Source organism: Homo sapiens, chromosome 4 (genome assembly GCF_000001405.40).
Source record: "Homo sapiens chromosome 4, GRCh38.p14 Primary Assembly".
NCBI classification, from domain to species: Eukaryota; Metazoa; Chordata; class Mammalia; order Primates; family Hominidae; genus Homo; species Homo sapiens.
The window spans coordinates 84,231,110-84,246,576 of record NC_000004.12 but is presented as its reverse complement, the minus strand read 5'-3'; the positions used below and the strand labels follow the sequence as shown (position 1 = coordinate 84,246,576).

The window sequence follows — 15,467 nt, the reverse complement described above, 5'->3', positions numbered from 1 at the left end:
GGCAGGCAGAGAGGAAAGGACTCCTCTAACAGCCCAGGACTTTGTATTCTGCAGCCAGAGGCCCAATGGCCTCTGTAAACTGAGGGTGTAGGGAAGGTGGCAGTTAAGGTGAGAAGGGTTGCTGGGTCTAGTGATGAAAACCAGATACAACAAGGAGGATGGCAACAGCGAGTCCCAACTCGATTCTCACATACCATCACCTATAATACAAGTCCCAATAACATGACAGCATGCAGGAGGTGGCTGCGTATCAAGGTAGACGCTTTTTAAAATAAACCTTAATTAGTCCCTGGGACTCACTGAAACTAACTTTTAGAAGCAAACCATCTAGTCTGATTCTAACCTTGCCAGACATTTTAATATCTGGTTTTGTTTTTTAAAAGGTATCCCAAGCTACCCTGCCTATATCGAAACACACTCCAAATTGCTTCCAATCGAGGGCTAGGGAACTAAATGTTAAGGCCTTTACCTCAAACAAGGAGTACTGGCTTGGGCTGAAGCAGAAGCCTGAGTCCTGGACCTGCTCAGTTCCTGATGACAAACCAAGTGAACCTAGACAGAAGGTGGGTGAGGGAGGACTGGTACCAGGCTGAGGCAGTTCCTTGGTAGTTTGTCCTGAAACCCTAGTGGAGAAGTCAGTATGAGGCACCTACTGAGAGAAGTGCCCAGAAACTGCTGACTGCATCTGTTAAGAGTTAACAGTAAAGAGGTAGAAGTGTGTTTCTGAATCAGAGTGGAGGTGTCTCAAGGGTCCCACAATGGAGGTCCCTGAGTTGCCTCCCTTCCATGAGTGGGAAGAGTGAAGCCCATGAAGATCTAAGATGAAGCAAGGATGGGGTTCCTGGGCTCTGGGCAAGGGCTGTGCTCTCTGCGGCAGGGAGCCCCACAAGTCAGAAGAGAAGAACTAATCATTTGTTGCAAGAAACCTTGCTGGATACTAGGGGAAAACTGGAGGCGGGGGCAGGGGCACAAGAAGTGGAAGTGATGTGATGGAGAGCAGAGAAGCCTTCATGGGGGACACGGACGGGGTGGGTACTAAGGCTCCCTAACAGAGCCAAAAACTGAGCTGAGGACCTCTGTGGGGGCTACTGGAATGCTTGGTGGAAACGAGGCAGGGTGGTGCTACTCAGGCCAGACGTGAAGACAGGAGGCAAGGAGTGCAGAGGCCCAAAGTTCAGTGGTCACCCCGCTCCTGGGGAATCTTGAGGCTGAGCTTGCAAAGTGGTGAGCAGGGGCTGTGCCTCTGCCTGGGAGTAGCCCATGACCAGGCCTCCCGTGGCCCCAGGTGGGTTACACGGGGGCAGGTTGAGTGGAAGAAAGCCCAGTAGGTGGGAGAAGTCCACGTTAGCAGCGCAGAGGGCCTCAGAGAGGTTGGCGGGGCTCTTGGCAAACAGTGCTTCATCTAGGAGGGCCGCAGCTGCCGCCGGCTGAGGTGAGGCGGGCTGGGGTTCAGCGGCTGAGAGAGACAGGCTTCCAGGAAGCTCCGCCAGAAAACTATCCACCTCCACTTTGGGCAATTTGTCGGGCAAGTATGAGGTAGATCCAAGCTGGTATTTTGGAGGGAGCTGAGCTGGGGAAGAGATAGGTGAGGATTCCAGAGGGCAGCTCATACCCATGGGCAGCGTGTTGTGCATCAGAGAGTGTTGCACGCCCGTGCTGGGCATGGTAGGGATGTGGGCACCATACATGCCCATGGGCAACATGCCAGGGAAGGCCTTGGTTCCCATTACTTCCCGAGAGGCCATGCACAGCACAGGGCTCAGCTCTTCCTTCACACTGACTGTGGAGCTGCAGCTAAGTAGGCCTAACATGTCCCCACGGGCTCTGTCTTGATCTTGAGCTGCTCCTGCAAGTGGCTCTTCTTGACATGACGCATCAGGTGGTCCTTACGGCCAAACCGCGGGGCACAGTACTGACACAGGAAGTCCTCACGGCCTGTGTGCACCACTAGGTGCCGCTGTACATCCTTACGAGTATAGAACCGCCGGTCGCAGTGGTCACAGGGGTGCTTCTTCTCCTTGGCACTGCCTGCTACCCGGCGTGAGTGGCCCTTCAGGTGCTCTAGCAGGGCCTGGGTACTCTCAAAGGTCTGCAGGCACACCTTGCAGCTGAGGTCACCGCTGCTGGCAGCATGCATGGCCAGGTGGCGCCGGTGGCCCAGCTTCGTATTGTAATTCTTACCGCACTCAGAGCAGCGGAGGGCCTCTTTGTTAGGGTCATGGGTCTGCAGATGGTTCCGCAGATGATCCTTGCGGTGAAACACCTTATCACAGTACATACACTGGTGGGTTTCTGGGCTGAGTGGGTGGCCATGTGCCTATACAGCTTGTATTTGGAAGCAAAAGACTCGCCACAGTGCAGCTGACGGCAGCTATATGGTCTCTGCTCTGGTTGTGGGAGGCTGTGAGGCCTCAGCTTCTCTCCATTTGAGAAAGGTTTCTCCGAAATTTCACATTGGCACTTCACTTGACTCTCCGCCTCCCGGCCCCGAGGCCTGGGAACTAGTTTCCAGCCCACTTCCTCCTGATTTGCATCTTGAATCCAGCGGGGGACGCTGGTGAAAAATGTGGTCATGGCAAGGCTAATGGCAAAGGGCCATGTTATTGAGAATTCCTCACCGTCCGCTCCACACAGGCTCTCAGCTCTGTCACAGCCTCCAATGCAGCTTTGAGAAAACAATCTCTTCGCCGCACTCGGGGCCCCACCGCTGCGGGTTGGGCGGCGCTCGGGCTCCGCCAGTATTTTCAGATTTTTAATCTTTTTTGGTTGTCAGCATTTTCTAGTATTTCTATACAAATACATATTTTAAAAGTGAGCTATTTTTAAGACGTTTAAGTAATAACTTTAAAATGATAACCTCACATGATAAAACCCAAACATAGAACAAAATGCTAATATTATTTTCTAAGTTATTGACTTTTTTACCAGTTGCACTAACTTCACTTAATATTTATTTAAGACACAGGCACTCAATGCAGGGGTAAATGTATAGTACTTCTCTATCCTTGCTTTGAGATGACCAAAAGTGGAAAGGCAGAGAAATTGACAGGGGCACTCATTATGGAGCTCATAGGGAGGGTGATTCCTCCCTGCATGAATTACTCATAAAAGAAGTACAAGAGATTCATGACATTGCTCCTGACAGCATTGAAATTCTTTTTAATGGGGGTATGACCTAAAACGAACCTTTGATACCTGATCATGATGATGGGCTGTTTATTTATTTCTTCTCCTTCGTTTCCAGCTGGGGAGATGATTAATGTACCTACCTTTCTTGTGATGGCCTCTGTGTATAAGTTGCTGTCCTTGAAGGACATTCAATGTTTTAAAGTGCTGATCAGTCTAATTTCTTCCTTCTAGGCTGTCTAGAAAAGGACACCAACAATCACCCATGAAGATTGCCCTTCAACCTTTGGGAGGAAATGATCGAAATGGGAGCTAGAGAAGATTGTTGTTGGAATCTCAGGTGAGGCATTTTCTATCCGATACAGGAAACTTATATACTTGTAGAGGACAGTTGAAGCCATGTTCAGGTAAAATGGTGCCATATAATGACAGCTGCCTGATGTGTGGAGGGCTTTTTTTTTTAACAATGACAACAAGTTAAGCCAAATGGCAACTGATTTTTTGTATTATTTTTATTCATGATTAATCGTGATAAAACATACATAATATAAAATTTACCATTTTAACCATTCCTAAGTGTACACTCAGTAGTAATATTCACATTGTTGTGCAAACAATCTCAATGATTTTTTTTTTATCTTGCAAAACTGAAACTCCATACCCAAGAAGCACCATCTCTCCATTTTTTCTTCCTCTCAGCCCCTGGCAACCACCATTCTACTTTCTACTTCTATAAATTTGTCTATTTCAGATACCTCATACATTGTATAATACTTTTTTTGTCTTTTTGTGACTGGCGTATTTCACTTAGCATAATGTCTTCATAAGGGCTTCAAGGTTCATCCATGCTGTAGGATGTATCAGCATATCCTTCCTTTTTAAAGGTTAAATAATATTCCATTGTTGACCACATTTTATTTATCCCTTGTCCATTGATGAACAGTTGGGCTACTTCCACCTTTTGGCTACTGTGAATAATGCTCCTATGAACATGGGTGTATTCAAATATCTGATTAAATCTTTGCTTTCCATTATTTTGACGTTTAAACTCAGTTTCACTACCACTACTCCGAAGTGGAATTGCTAGATCATATATAATCCCATACATAAGTTTCTAACTCCATCACTGGGCGGTAAATGTCGGAAACTCAGAAGTGCAGGCTTTGGTGCAGGAATGTGAGTAGTTAGAGGCCGTTACACAATACTTTAGGCCAGCGATCCAGAGCCACCCCATTGAAGATGAAGATGCATCCTTTGTTTGGCAGAAGTTACAGTAGTGATAACAGCAAGGGATAGGAAAGCTGAAGGATCTGGAACACATTAGTCATCTGGTCATAGGAAGCAAGATTGATAGTGGGTGAGCACAGAAATGTCTCACATTATGGGAATAGAAAGGAAAGAACTATAGTTTTCAAACTTCAATCAACTTAGAAAAATTTGTGTCATCTTTTGATTCCTGGGCTTCATTCTCAAGAGATTCCCATTCAGTAAGCCCTTTTGAGGCTCAAAAATCTGCATTTTAATAAACATCAGAGAAAAATAATTGGGGAAAAATAATTCCTAACAACTGTCAGGTGATGAAAACTAACTCTTGATTACCCATGTTAACATGAAGAAAAGTACAATATCCTGAATCAATGACTCTCAAGCGCTGGGCTATAAACCAATTCTGTGCTGGCTACTTCATCACTTGGATAACTTGCTGCATTAAGAAATACCTGGGCCCCAGTGCCTGATTCTCAGTGTGTGTTATATTTTTCTCTATCTTCACAGGTTGGCAATTTCATAGAAGGCCCACTTTTCCCAGTTTTAAGGTAGTGATTAAATCCAAAATACAACTGAGTGCTTTAGAGGAAGGAACACACGTGGGACTCCCATAGTTAAACTAAATGTCATACAGACTTCTCTAATGCTTTGATTTTTAGAAACTTGACTCATGCTATCACACAGTCTGTACAAGTCTGGCCCCTTCCTCAGGATTAGTGCAAATCCTGTGGTATAGCTCCGCCCAGAGACAGAGGCACCGGGAGGAGCAACTATAGACTTCATCCCCTCCTAACTTTTCAATTTTCAAACCCACTCATGAATTCTTTGAGGTTAATAACTTTACTGAAGATCCCTGGAGTGAAGACAGGCACCATATTACTACATGGCAGTAATCTCCCACTTGTTAATTGCCCCACACCATCTTCTGTTGTATTTTCTAAAATCCAAGCTCCTAATCTGTGCTGTACTTGTTCATTCAGCTCTCTAGAAATTGCAGTAGAATCTGCCATTCTCCATGGGATTGTTGCCATCAGCAAAAATTTTCTATTTACTACCAACAAGTCTCCGGAGGGGGGAATATATTGTGTTAAGATGGTTGTTTAAGATGTTATTTTCCCAGGATTCAGGATCCTGAGTCTACACGATAGAATAACTACCAAACCATATCAAGATCCTAAGGATGGTATGGGGAGGTCATGCCCTCTTCAAACTTCTGCAGTTCGACTCAAACTTTCTCTCTTTAACTTCAACCTAAGAAGGTCTCCTAATGATCCAGATCATAACACATGGAATCCATAACTCTATTAGCTTGCAATAGGCAGCCCTGAAGCCAGGATCAAGATTGCAGAGTAGCCTTCCTGATTTGCTTTCCCTTATCCCCATACTCAAATCTTAGTTCTCTGTGTTTTTAACATTCAGATTATAGGATTACACTAAGAAAAGAAGACAGTGTTTGCCCCAACAGTGATTTATTTAAATTATTTTGATGATACTAAGTATCCCAATTAATATGTTTGGACTTGACCCACTCATATCATCACTTGATCTCCTGAGGTAAGGGGATTGGCTGGTGGAAGGAAGGTAGACTGGAAAGGAGTCCCTCTAGAGCTGTTAATCTGTCCCATCAAATCACCATAAATCAGTTCCTAATTTTCAATAGAAACAGAAACAGCATTATTTTAACTGGAACCTGACTTTCATACTTCCCTGTAAACCACTATCTTGAGCACTGTGGGAATTTGTGGAGAATAACAATTTATAATTGAGGGCTGGGCACAGCGGCTCACACCTGTAATCCCAACACTCTGGGAGGCCAAGGCGGCAGGAATAGTTGAGTCCAGGAGTTCAAGACCAGCCTGGGCAACATGGCAAAACCCTGTTTCTACAAAAAATACAAAAATTAGCTGGGTGTGGTGGTATACTCCTGTAGTCCCAGCTACTTGGGAGGCTGAGATGGGAGGATCATCTGAGCCCAGGAGGTTGGGGCTGCAGTGAGCCTTGAGCATACCACCTTACTCCAGTTTTGGAAACAGAGTGAGACCCAGTCTCTAAGAAAAAAAAAGAATTTATAATTGAGATTTGAATTTTATTTTTATTTAGTTGGGCTAGTGCCAGCATTGGTCACTTTAAGCCATTCAGTCAACACATTTTATTAAGCAACTGCTGTGCTTAGTAAAATACTAATTTTATTGAATAACTACTATGTACTCACTGAGCTAAGTACTGGATATATAATGGTGAACAAGACAGAAATAGTATAATACCTGCCAGTCTAGTATGAAGGTCTCTAAGTAAACAAATAAACAAATACTTAGAAATTGTGAGTAAGCATCAAAAAGAAAACAATAAAAAGGAGGTGAGATAGAGAATAAAATGAATTATATACTTTATAGATAGGGTCATGGGGCCTTTCTAAGAAGGTAACATTGAAGCTGAGACCTAAAGGATGGGAAGGAACTTGCCATGTGATGAGACGTGAAGTGGCTAAGCTGGTTTCCTAGGCAAAGGCCTTGAGGCCAAGGAGCCTGAGGCAAAAGGAACTGGCTGAAGCTCAATGGGAGGGAGTGGCAAGAGCCCAGGAGGTAGAGGTTGCAGTGAGCCAAGATCGTGCCACTAAACTCCAGCCTGGTTGACAGAGCAGGACTCTGTCTCAAAAAAAAAAAGAAAAAACGAAAAAAGTGAGAGAGAGAGATAAGGGTGGCTGTATCATCAGACTTCCCAGCACACAGGACATTGCAAGGCCATGGGGAGGAGTTCTGAGCCATGGAGAGGGTGGGCGGGAAAGGCATAGGACTGGAAGTAGGAAGGTAGGTGAGAAGCTTACTAACTGCCCTGCACAATCTGTCCTGTACAAATTTTAATGCTGATTTTTCCATGACTGATGGCAGTTTATTCTTTCTAGATGTCTCTCTTACTTGATTACACAGTTTTAGGTCAAGCACGTTGTTTCAGAATGCATTCAACACCTAGCAGTAGGTGTTAAATAAGTACTTGTTGACTATATGGATGTCCTATGTGCTCAGTTAGCCTGAGATACAATTGCTGTATCTCCCTAGTACCCAGCACAGTGCTATGCACAGGGTACATGTGGAGGATTAATTTAGAGGGCTTTGCAGGATCACATAGAAAAGAGTTTTTTTTTAATCTGGCATTTTCTCTTACTTTACCATATAATCTTACCTGAATAGACTTAGCATTTTTCTATGAATTATTCATTTTGGCACGTACCCTGTAAAACATCTAAAGTTTCTAACCTTTTGAAACCACAAGGCTTCCCCAGCCAGCATTTAGAGTGAAATCTCTGTGGTAGCACTTTACCAATTTACCCCTTAGCTCTTTTTCAGTTCTTGGCTCATGTGAATAAGCAGGCCAAAATGCTCTTCTGGGAATGCACAGCATGGATATATATTTTTTACTATCACAGCAGAATTGTTTTGAATGCATTTCGGCCATGAGGTTAAAGCTCTCCACAAGGAATACTTCAGCAATAATTCTGCTGCCCTCTAGCTGAGCACTGAAATCCCTCCGGAACGCCAGTATTACCCTTCAAGAATGGTTCTGAAATGACTTTACTCACTTCCCCGTCCTTTCTATTCCTATTGAAATTCTTCTAGAATGCTCACAGTAACTTTCAGCCAGATGCCAGAATAACTTTTAAGTTCTAGATAGGTTTCTGTAACAATTTATTACACAACGCAACACAAGCTCACTTTTTAAAGAAGAGGCCTGATAGGCACAGCTGGTCAAAATTGTATTCCAGATATCCTGTGGTTAGTTTATTTCAGCTTTATTGATGACTCAGAAATTACATAAAGGGATTGTGAAAGGACCAGCACACACGTGCAGATGAAAGGGTTGGATTTTCTTCTTAGATTCTGCTGCCACTACTGCTACTGCTACTATTACTTTCTTTTCCAATTATTATTTTCAGAGACACTAGGCATCAAGACTTGGCTCTGACACTTGTTAAATAAAAGCCAGTGAACTTGGTCAGAAACAAAATGTATTCTCATAAGCTGGCCCCAAACTTGAGTAACACACAGAAATCAAATTATGTTCAAAATTCAGAAGCATAGAAAGATATATTTTTCATTCACTTATTCAGTAAATGTTTATCAAGTGCCTACTGTGTGCCAATGCTGTGCTAGGCACTAGAAATACATGGGTAGACAAGATGGACATGGAATTTCCAATGTAGCAGGACCTCCATTGTTATGTGGAATTCCATTTGGACACAGAATCAGGATCAATGATTTTTATATGACCAAATGTATAAAATCTATGCTTTGAGGCCGTATTAGCTTCTTAGGTCTGCATTAACAAATTACCACAAACTTGTTGTCTTAAGACAATGGAAATTTATTCTCTCACAATTGTAGAGGCAAGGAGTCTGAAATAAAAGTGTTGATTTCCTCTGAAGGCTCTAGGGGAGTGTATTAGTCCGTTCTCATGCTGCTAATAAAGACATACCCGAGACTGGGTAATTTCTAAAGGAAAGAGTTTTAATTGACTCTCAGTTCTGCATGGCTGGGGAGGCCTCAGGAAACTTACAATACTGGTGGAAGGGGAAGCAAACATGTCCTTCTTCACATGGCAGCAGCAAGGAGAAGTGCCAAGCAAAAGGGGAAAAGCCTCTTATAAAACCATCAGATCTCATGAGAACTGACCATCACGAGACCAGCATGAGGGTAACTGCCCCCATGATTCAATTACCTCCCACTTGGTCCTTCCCACAACACATACTGATTATGGGAACTACAGTTCAAAATGAGATTTGGGTGAGAACATAGCCAAACCGTATCAGGAAGAATCCTTCCTTGCCTTTTCCAGCTTCAGGTGGCTCCTGGTGTTTCCTGGCTTGTGGCAGCATCCCCGCAATCTCTGCCTCTGTCTTCACATGGCCTTTTGCCTCTGTCTTCACGTGGCCTTGTTAGAAAGACAGCAGTCATTGCACTTAGGGCACACCCTAAACCAGTATGACCTCATCTTAACTAATTATATCTGCAAAAGCCTATTTCCAAATAAGGTCACATTCTGAGGTTCTGAGTGAACATGCATTTTTGAGGGACTGTATTTTACCCAGTCTAACAGTGAGCTCATTGTATTAAAACAATTAAAACTACTTTATAATTACTTTTTTCATGCGATCACCTTAAGTTGAGATAGCAAATGAGTTTTCTATTGTTTTTGGTTTTATTTTGATTCAGTCATTCCAATTTCAATTAATCAGCAGGTTGTATAATTCACAATGAATCATTATCCAAAGGATAGCCAACTCTCTGGTTTGAGATTCTCTGTACATGGAGTCAAATAAAATCGGCATAGAATATTGTAGAAGAGTTTAGTTTTATATTTTGAAGTACAAGGTATATTCATAATACTTTGCTGAAAGCTTTACAAAAGTGCAATTTTCTTGAAGAATGCATTGTTAAGTCTATCAAAGTACAATAACCTGAAAGGGATTGTTAATGTGTCAATTAAAAGAATCCTGATTACATTCTATGGGCAGTGACTAAGAATTCCTAAAAGCATGATTTTATTATTATTATTTTTTAATCAGTGACAGGAGGCAACATTGTTCCATACGTGGGGACAACGGAACATATAAGTGGAAGGTTTTAATCAACATGTTGACCTCTTTCCCCTTTACAATGTAATTTTTTCCCTAACGGTAAAAGACAATATGCTTGAAAAATATTATATCACTTATCTTCCCTTTATATTAAAAAAGTCACAGATGGTGCTTGAATTAAGAAAGTGACATGTCATATATTTATAGCAACTAATATGTGTTGGACAATCCTAAATTCAAATGCTTTCACCAGTTGTTAAGCCATGTATTAAGACAGTTTATGGTTTTGGAAATATGGTTGCTGGGGCAATAACAGAGAAATCACTGGGTCCTGATGCATTGGTTCGAGTACTAGCTTTCACGACTGATTGCTGAGTGTTTGGGGATGGATATATGGTTTAATAGAAAAGCATGTGTTTTGTATTTATACAAAATGCACTGGTTTCAAGATTCAGGTTTTCTACCTGCTTGTCTTCAGAAAAGTACATTTTAAAAGCTTCCTCAACAATTATTTTATTGTCTGTAAATTCTAGAAAATTACTCTTACCTCATGAGATTTAAGGATACAATGAAATAATACAGACAAACCCTCTGGCTCAATGGCTGGCAAATAGTAAATATTTCATGCTTCAATATTCTATGCTTCAATTCTTCTTTTCCAAAATGGAGACATAATACCTACTGTGCAGCACTATAGCCTAGTGCTTAAGAACATGAAATTCGAGTTGAGAAAATCTGGGTTTAAACTCCAGCTATGCCACTACAAAGCTATATAGCTTTGAGCTAGTTACTGAGTGACTTGATGTTTCAGTTTTGCCTAAGAATTCATCTCTCATCTGCTGTGTGGTTTCAACTTCAGCCTTAGACTGTGAATAGCCAATTAGCTCATTGCCAATTTCAGTATCACTTCTGCTATTCTTGAATTTGTACATGATCAAGTAAGTTGCCATTCTATCTAGTCAGCATAACAATATTATGTAAATAAGTGAGGTATGCTTTTAGATGCGTTGCTAGTTTATACGACAGTTTGAACTATTATTTAGGAAACACTCACTTCTTTCCCCTCCCATGTGTATGAAATCTATTTCTCCTTCCTATCAGTGTTGGGCTTGGCACAATACTTTGCACAATAGGATGTAGGTGTTTGTGATATAGCAAAGGCTTGGAATGTGCTTGTGCAATAGATTTGCCATCTTTCCCCTCTACTATTGCCATGAGAAGAGCTTCCTGTAAGCAGCAGCTGCTCCATCAGCCTTGGGCCCAGAATGCCCACCTGCAGAGTAGACTTGAGCCCAGCCTGCAGTGAGGAGCCGCGTCCAGTTAATCCTACAGCTTGAGTCAGTCATCAGCCTAGACCAGCTGACCTTCAGCAGACCTATAGATATATAAGCAAGAATAAATAGTTGTAGTTTTTAAGCCACTAAATCTTGAAGTGGTTAGTTATGTAGCATAGCTGTCTAATACAGCTTACGGATATGCACTTTTAAATATAAGTAAGCATTTTAGACTTAACTTGAAGTAAAATTTTTCTTTTTTTTCTTTTTTTTTTGTTTTTGAGACGGAGTTTCGCTCTTGTTGCCCAGGCTGGAGTGCAATGACAAGATTTCGGCTCACCGCAACCTCCGCCTCCCAGGTTCAAGGGATTCTCCTGCCTCAGCCTCCTAAGTAGCTGGGATCACAGGCATGTGCCACCACGCCCAGCTAACTTTTGTATTTTTAGTAGAGACAGGGTTTCTCCACGTTGGTAAGGCTGGTCTCGAACTCCTAACCTCAGATGATTCACCCTTCTCAGCCTCCCAAGGTGCTGGGATTACAGACGTGAGCCACCGCACCTGACTGTAAAATTTTTCTTAAGACTTTTATATCATAAAACTCTATTATCTAGTTGATGTATAAATGTGCTACAATAATTAACAATGATTATGAAAGCTGTTGATTTTACATACAGAAATAATTTTTTAGAATGTTCAAATATTTCTTTCTTTTTCTTTTTTTTCTTTTTTTTTTTTTGACAAAGTCTTGCTCTGTCATCCAGGCTGGAGTGCAGTGGTGTGACATTGGCTTGCTGCAATCTCCACCTCCTGGATTCAAGCAATTCTCTTGCCTCAGCCTCCTGTGTAGCTGGGATTGCCAACATGCACCACCTCGCCTGGCTAATTTTTGTATTTTTATTAGAGACAGGGTTTCCCCATGTTGGCCAGGCTGGTCTCAAACTCCTGACCTAGGTGATCCACCCAGCTTGGCCTCCTAAAATACTGGGATTACAGGCGTGAGCCACGGCACCCGGCTAGAACGTTCAAATATTTCAATAGGGAAATATTTGGATGATTTTAGAAAAATTATATATTCCTCAATACAGCAAGTGCTTAAGAAAGTTAAAACAACAATAGACATTCAAAGAATAGATATTGGATTATATCATATATCATAAGTAATAATGAATATTACTTGCCTTCATCATTTTTATTCTCCATTGCTGGAAGGATGAAGGAGATCTATACCTGGGACATTTCTCAAAATGAGACGAGATGAGAATTTAGAGCTAGGATGGAATTTATGGCTGTGCATGAGTTAAACAGTGAGATGTCTCTGGGCAGAAGTAGAGATATTTCTGATATGAACCAATCTGGGACACCTGTTCATGTGGGATAGAACATTGAGAGGAGCTCTCTATTAGTTTTTCCTAATAGAGAATGGCTTGTCAATTTACAAACTTGGGTTTCTACAAGAGGATTTGATAACTTCCTCCGAAGTCTTTACCAACAGATGAGAAGATTCTCCTTTTTGTCTTGTTGAGTGAGGTCTATTTCACCAAACATTTTAATTATAATAATTTTTCTTTAAAACAATTATATATGGAACACTTCATGAATTTGTGTGTCATCCTTGTGCAGGGGCCATGCTAATCTTCTCTTTATTGTTCCAATTTTAGTATATGTGCTGCTGAAGCCAGCACTCACCAAACATTTCGCATTGTTGATAGCCAAGATCTGCATATTAGTATCTTAGTCTTCTCAATACTTTTAAAAAGTCACTTCCATTTTTTGATCTTTGTTATCTACTTAGGAGTTAGTCACTTTGTTCTATGTACTTTGTATATGGCTGCAAATAGGATGGAGGGGTGCTTATGCTTTTGAGCTTAATTGGGAGAGGATATAAAACAAATAGTTATGCAAATAATCATAGTTTTGATCAAAATGCCCTGAAGGAGACATGTAGGATGTAATGACAGTGTGTATACAATGAGGGACTAACTTAAACATGGAGGGTCAGGAAGGCTTCCCTCAGGATTAGAGTTTGAGCTGAGACATGAAGGATGAATAGGAGTTAGGTTAAGAGGGGTGGGGTGGAGGGAGTAGGGGTTTGGGGCAGAAGCAGGTATTAAGGCCAGAGGTGGAATGTAGCTCAGCCTACTGCAGAAATCTTAAGATCAGTGTTTCTGGATTGCAGTGAGGGGAAGAGATTGGTGAGAGAGAAGATTCTCCTTTCCTTTCCAATGCTAAGGCCAACAACTTTTAATATTTGAAGATGTTTCATCTTATCAAATGTGCTAATCTTGACAATCTTTTAGGAAGCAGACGGAGGAAGTAAATAGAAACATTGCAAGGAGGGGACATTGGCTATTTTTGGCCCATGCTCCATGAAAGCATCGAAAAACCACAACTCTGCCTGTCTCATTTGACTTCTGTGCTCCACGTCTTAAGCTGCATTGACCAATCAGAGAGGCAAACAGTATCTATGTTTGAGTCATCCCCATCCTTTCAAAATCCTTCTGAAGACTGGTCATTTTTTTTCTCTGTTAGGTGCTTGGAAAATTTTCAGAAGAACAATCAGGCAGAGCAGTGAATGCTGTGTGTGCACACATTCCCTCTGGCCTGGTGTTTCCAGTTCAGCGGGCCAATTCTCACTTGTCATATTGAGTCCTTTATTACAACAAAATATTATTTTAAAGCTGCACTAACAGTAATTAGAAGCAATTGAGTTTTATCAACTAACACAAACTGTGGGATTTGGAACTTGGATTTTAGCTGGTATTTTAATGAAGTGTGTGTTAACAACACCAAATCTTCTGTCAGGGCAGCAGCTGAGTTGCATATACAGACCTTTGATGGGGGACCATGTGTTAACGCTCAGAGGCGTCAGGCTCATGTGGGACTCTGCACATCCATACCTCACAGATCTGTGTCCCAGGCCCATTTTTATTTTCTCCTTCTCCTAATGAAAATTCTGATAGTCCTCACATTTGTTCCGATAAAAATTTGGAATTAAAGATGATTATTCCATGTGCACATATTAATAATACATATTTAGACGTGAGTAATGATGACTTAAATTTTCTCTTTGCTCAACTGTCTCATTTCAGCCTAAGATGTTAAAAGGACACATAGTACAGAGTGTTAGAAGTTATTTAGTGGGAAGCAGGAGGTTAAGGAGGAAGCAAGAATAAAATAAAGAAGGAGAAGGATGCTCTCTAACTTTAGGTTAGCATTTCTAGTGGAATAAATATCTCGAGGAAGTAGGGTATTTCTCTTTTTAAAAGACAACCTTCTAAACCTTGGTCAAAGGCCTTTTCAGTTGAACATTTTCAAAGAATAACCTACAATTTACTAAAGAAGCTTACCCAGCTAAAGCCAAGACCATCATGGCAGAATGGAGCCTTTTAAACTATGAAAGCTATGCTCCTATCAGGACAAAATCTAGACTAGAGAAATATGGATCACAAGCTTTGCAGACAGATTTTGCCTAATCAGCATGCAATTCAAACTAAAATCTAGTACTTTTAACTTTTTATCTGCTCTTCCTATTTTGACCAATGCCAGAAGTAGACGCTATTTGCCTAAAGAAGATAACACAGTGAGGTGGTTTGGCTGTGTTTACACCCAAATCTCATCTTGATTGTAGTTCCTGTAATCCTCACATGTCATGGGAGGGACCAAGTGGGAAGTGACTGGATCATGTGGGGCAGTTTCCACCATGCTGTTCTCGTGATAGTGAGTGAGGCTTATGAGATCTGATGGTTTCAAAAGCACCTGGCATTTCCTCTGCTTGCACTCATTCTCTCTCCTCCTGCCCTGTGAAGAGGTGCCTTCTGCCATGATTGTAAGTTTCCTGAGGCCTCCCCAGGCATTCAGAACTGTGAGTTAATTAAGCCTCTTTCCTTTATAAAATACCTGGTCTTGGGCAGTTCTTTGTAGCAGCATGAAAATGGACTAATACAGTATTTGGTACTGTGGTAGTGGAGCGCTGCTGTAAGAATACCCAAAAATGTGGAAGCGACTTTGAAGCTGGGTAACAGGCAGAAGTAAGAACAGTTTGAAGGGCTCAGAAGAAGACAGGAAAATGTGGGAAAGTTTGGAACTTTCTAGAGACTTGTTGAATGGCTTTGAGCAAAATGCTGATAGTGATATGGACAATGAAGTCCAGGCTGAGGTAGTCTCAGATGGAGATGAGGAATTTGTTGGAACCGGAATAAAGGTGTTCTTGCTATGCTTTGGAAAAAGAC

At 41.8% G+C, this 15,467-nt stretch overlaps 1 long non-coding RNA gene and 2 pseudogenes across 1 annotated transcript in view, besides 2 other annotated features; 1 reads left to right on the top strand and 2 right to left on the bottom strand.

Moving 5' to 3' along the window:
* The window catches only part of LINC02994 (long intergenic non-protein coding RNA 2994), a 331,088-nt gene that overhangs the window by 52,593 nt on the left and 263,028 nt on the right, over positions 1-15,467 (top strand). Inside the window, exon 5 of the long non-coding RNA NR_125909.1 lies at positions 3,361-3,466. This is a non-coding gene — a long non-coding RNA (long intergenic non-protein coding RNA 2994). The remainder of the gene's footprint in view (positions 1-3,360; positions 3,467-15,467) is intronic.
* Positions 780-1,753: an enhancer, noted in NCBI's record as "H3K4me1 hESC enhancer chr4:85165977-85166950 (GRCh37/hg19 assembly coordinates)". NCBI's record gives its function as "activates a minimal SCP1, AML or CMV promoter by ChIP-STARR-seq in naive H9 embryonic stem cells {active_cell/tissue: H9 hESC(naive)}" and the evidence as "EXISTENCE:reporter gene assay evidence [ECO:0000049][PMID:30033119]".
* Positions 893-2,739, bottom strand: LOC152845 (PLAG1 like zinc finger 2 pseudogene; annotated as a pseudogene).
* Positions 1,754-2,727: an enhancer, noted in NCBI's record as "H3K4me1 hESC enhancer chr4:85165003-85165976 (GRCh37/hg19 assembly coordinates)". NCBI's record gives its function as "activates a minimal SCP1, AML or CMV promoter by ChIP-STARR-seq in naive H9 embryonic stem cells {active_cell/tissue: H9 hESC(naive)}" and the evidence as "EXISTENCE:reporter gene assay evidence [ECO:0000049][PMID:30033119]".
* On the bottom strand, positions 12,814-12,920 carry RNU6-774P (RNA, U6 small nuclear 774, pseudogene; annotated as a pseudogene).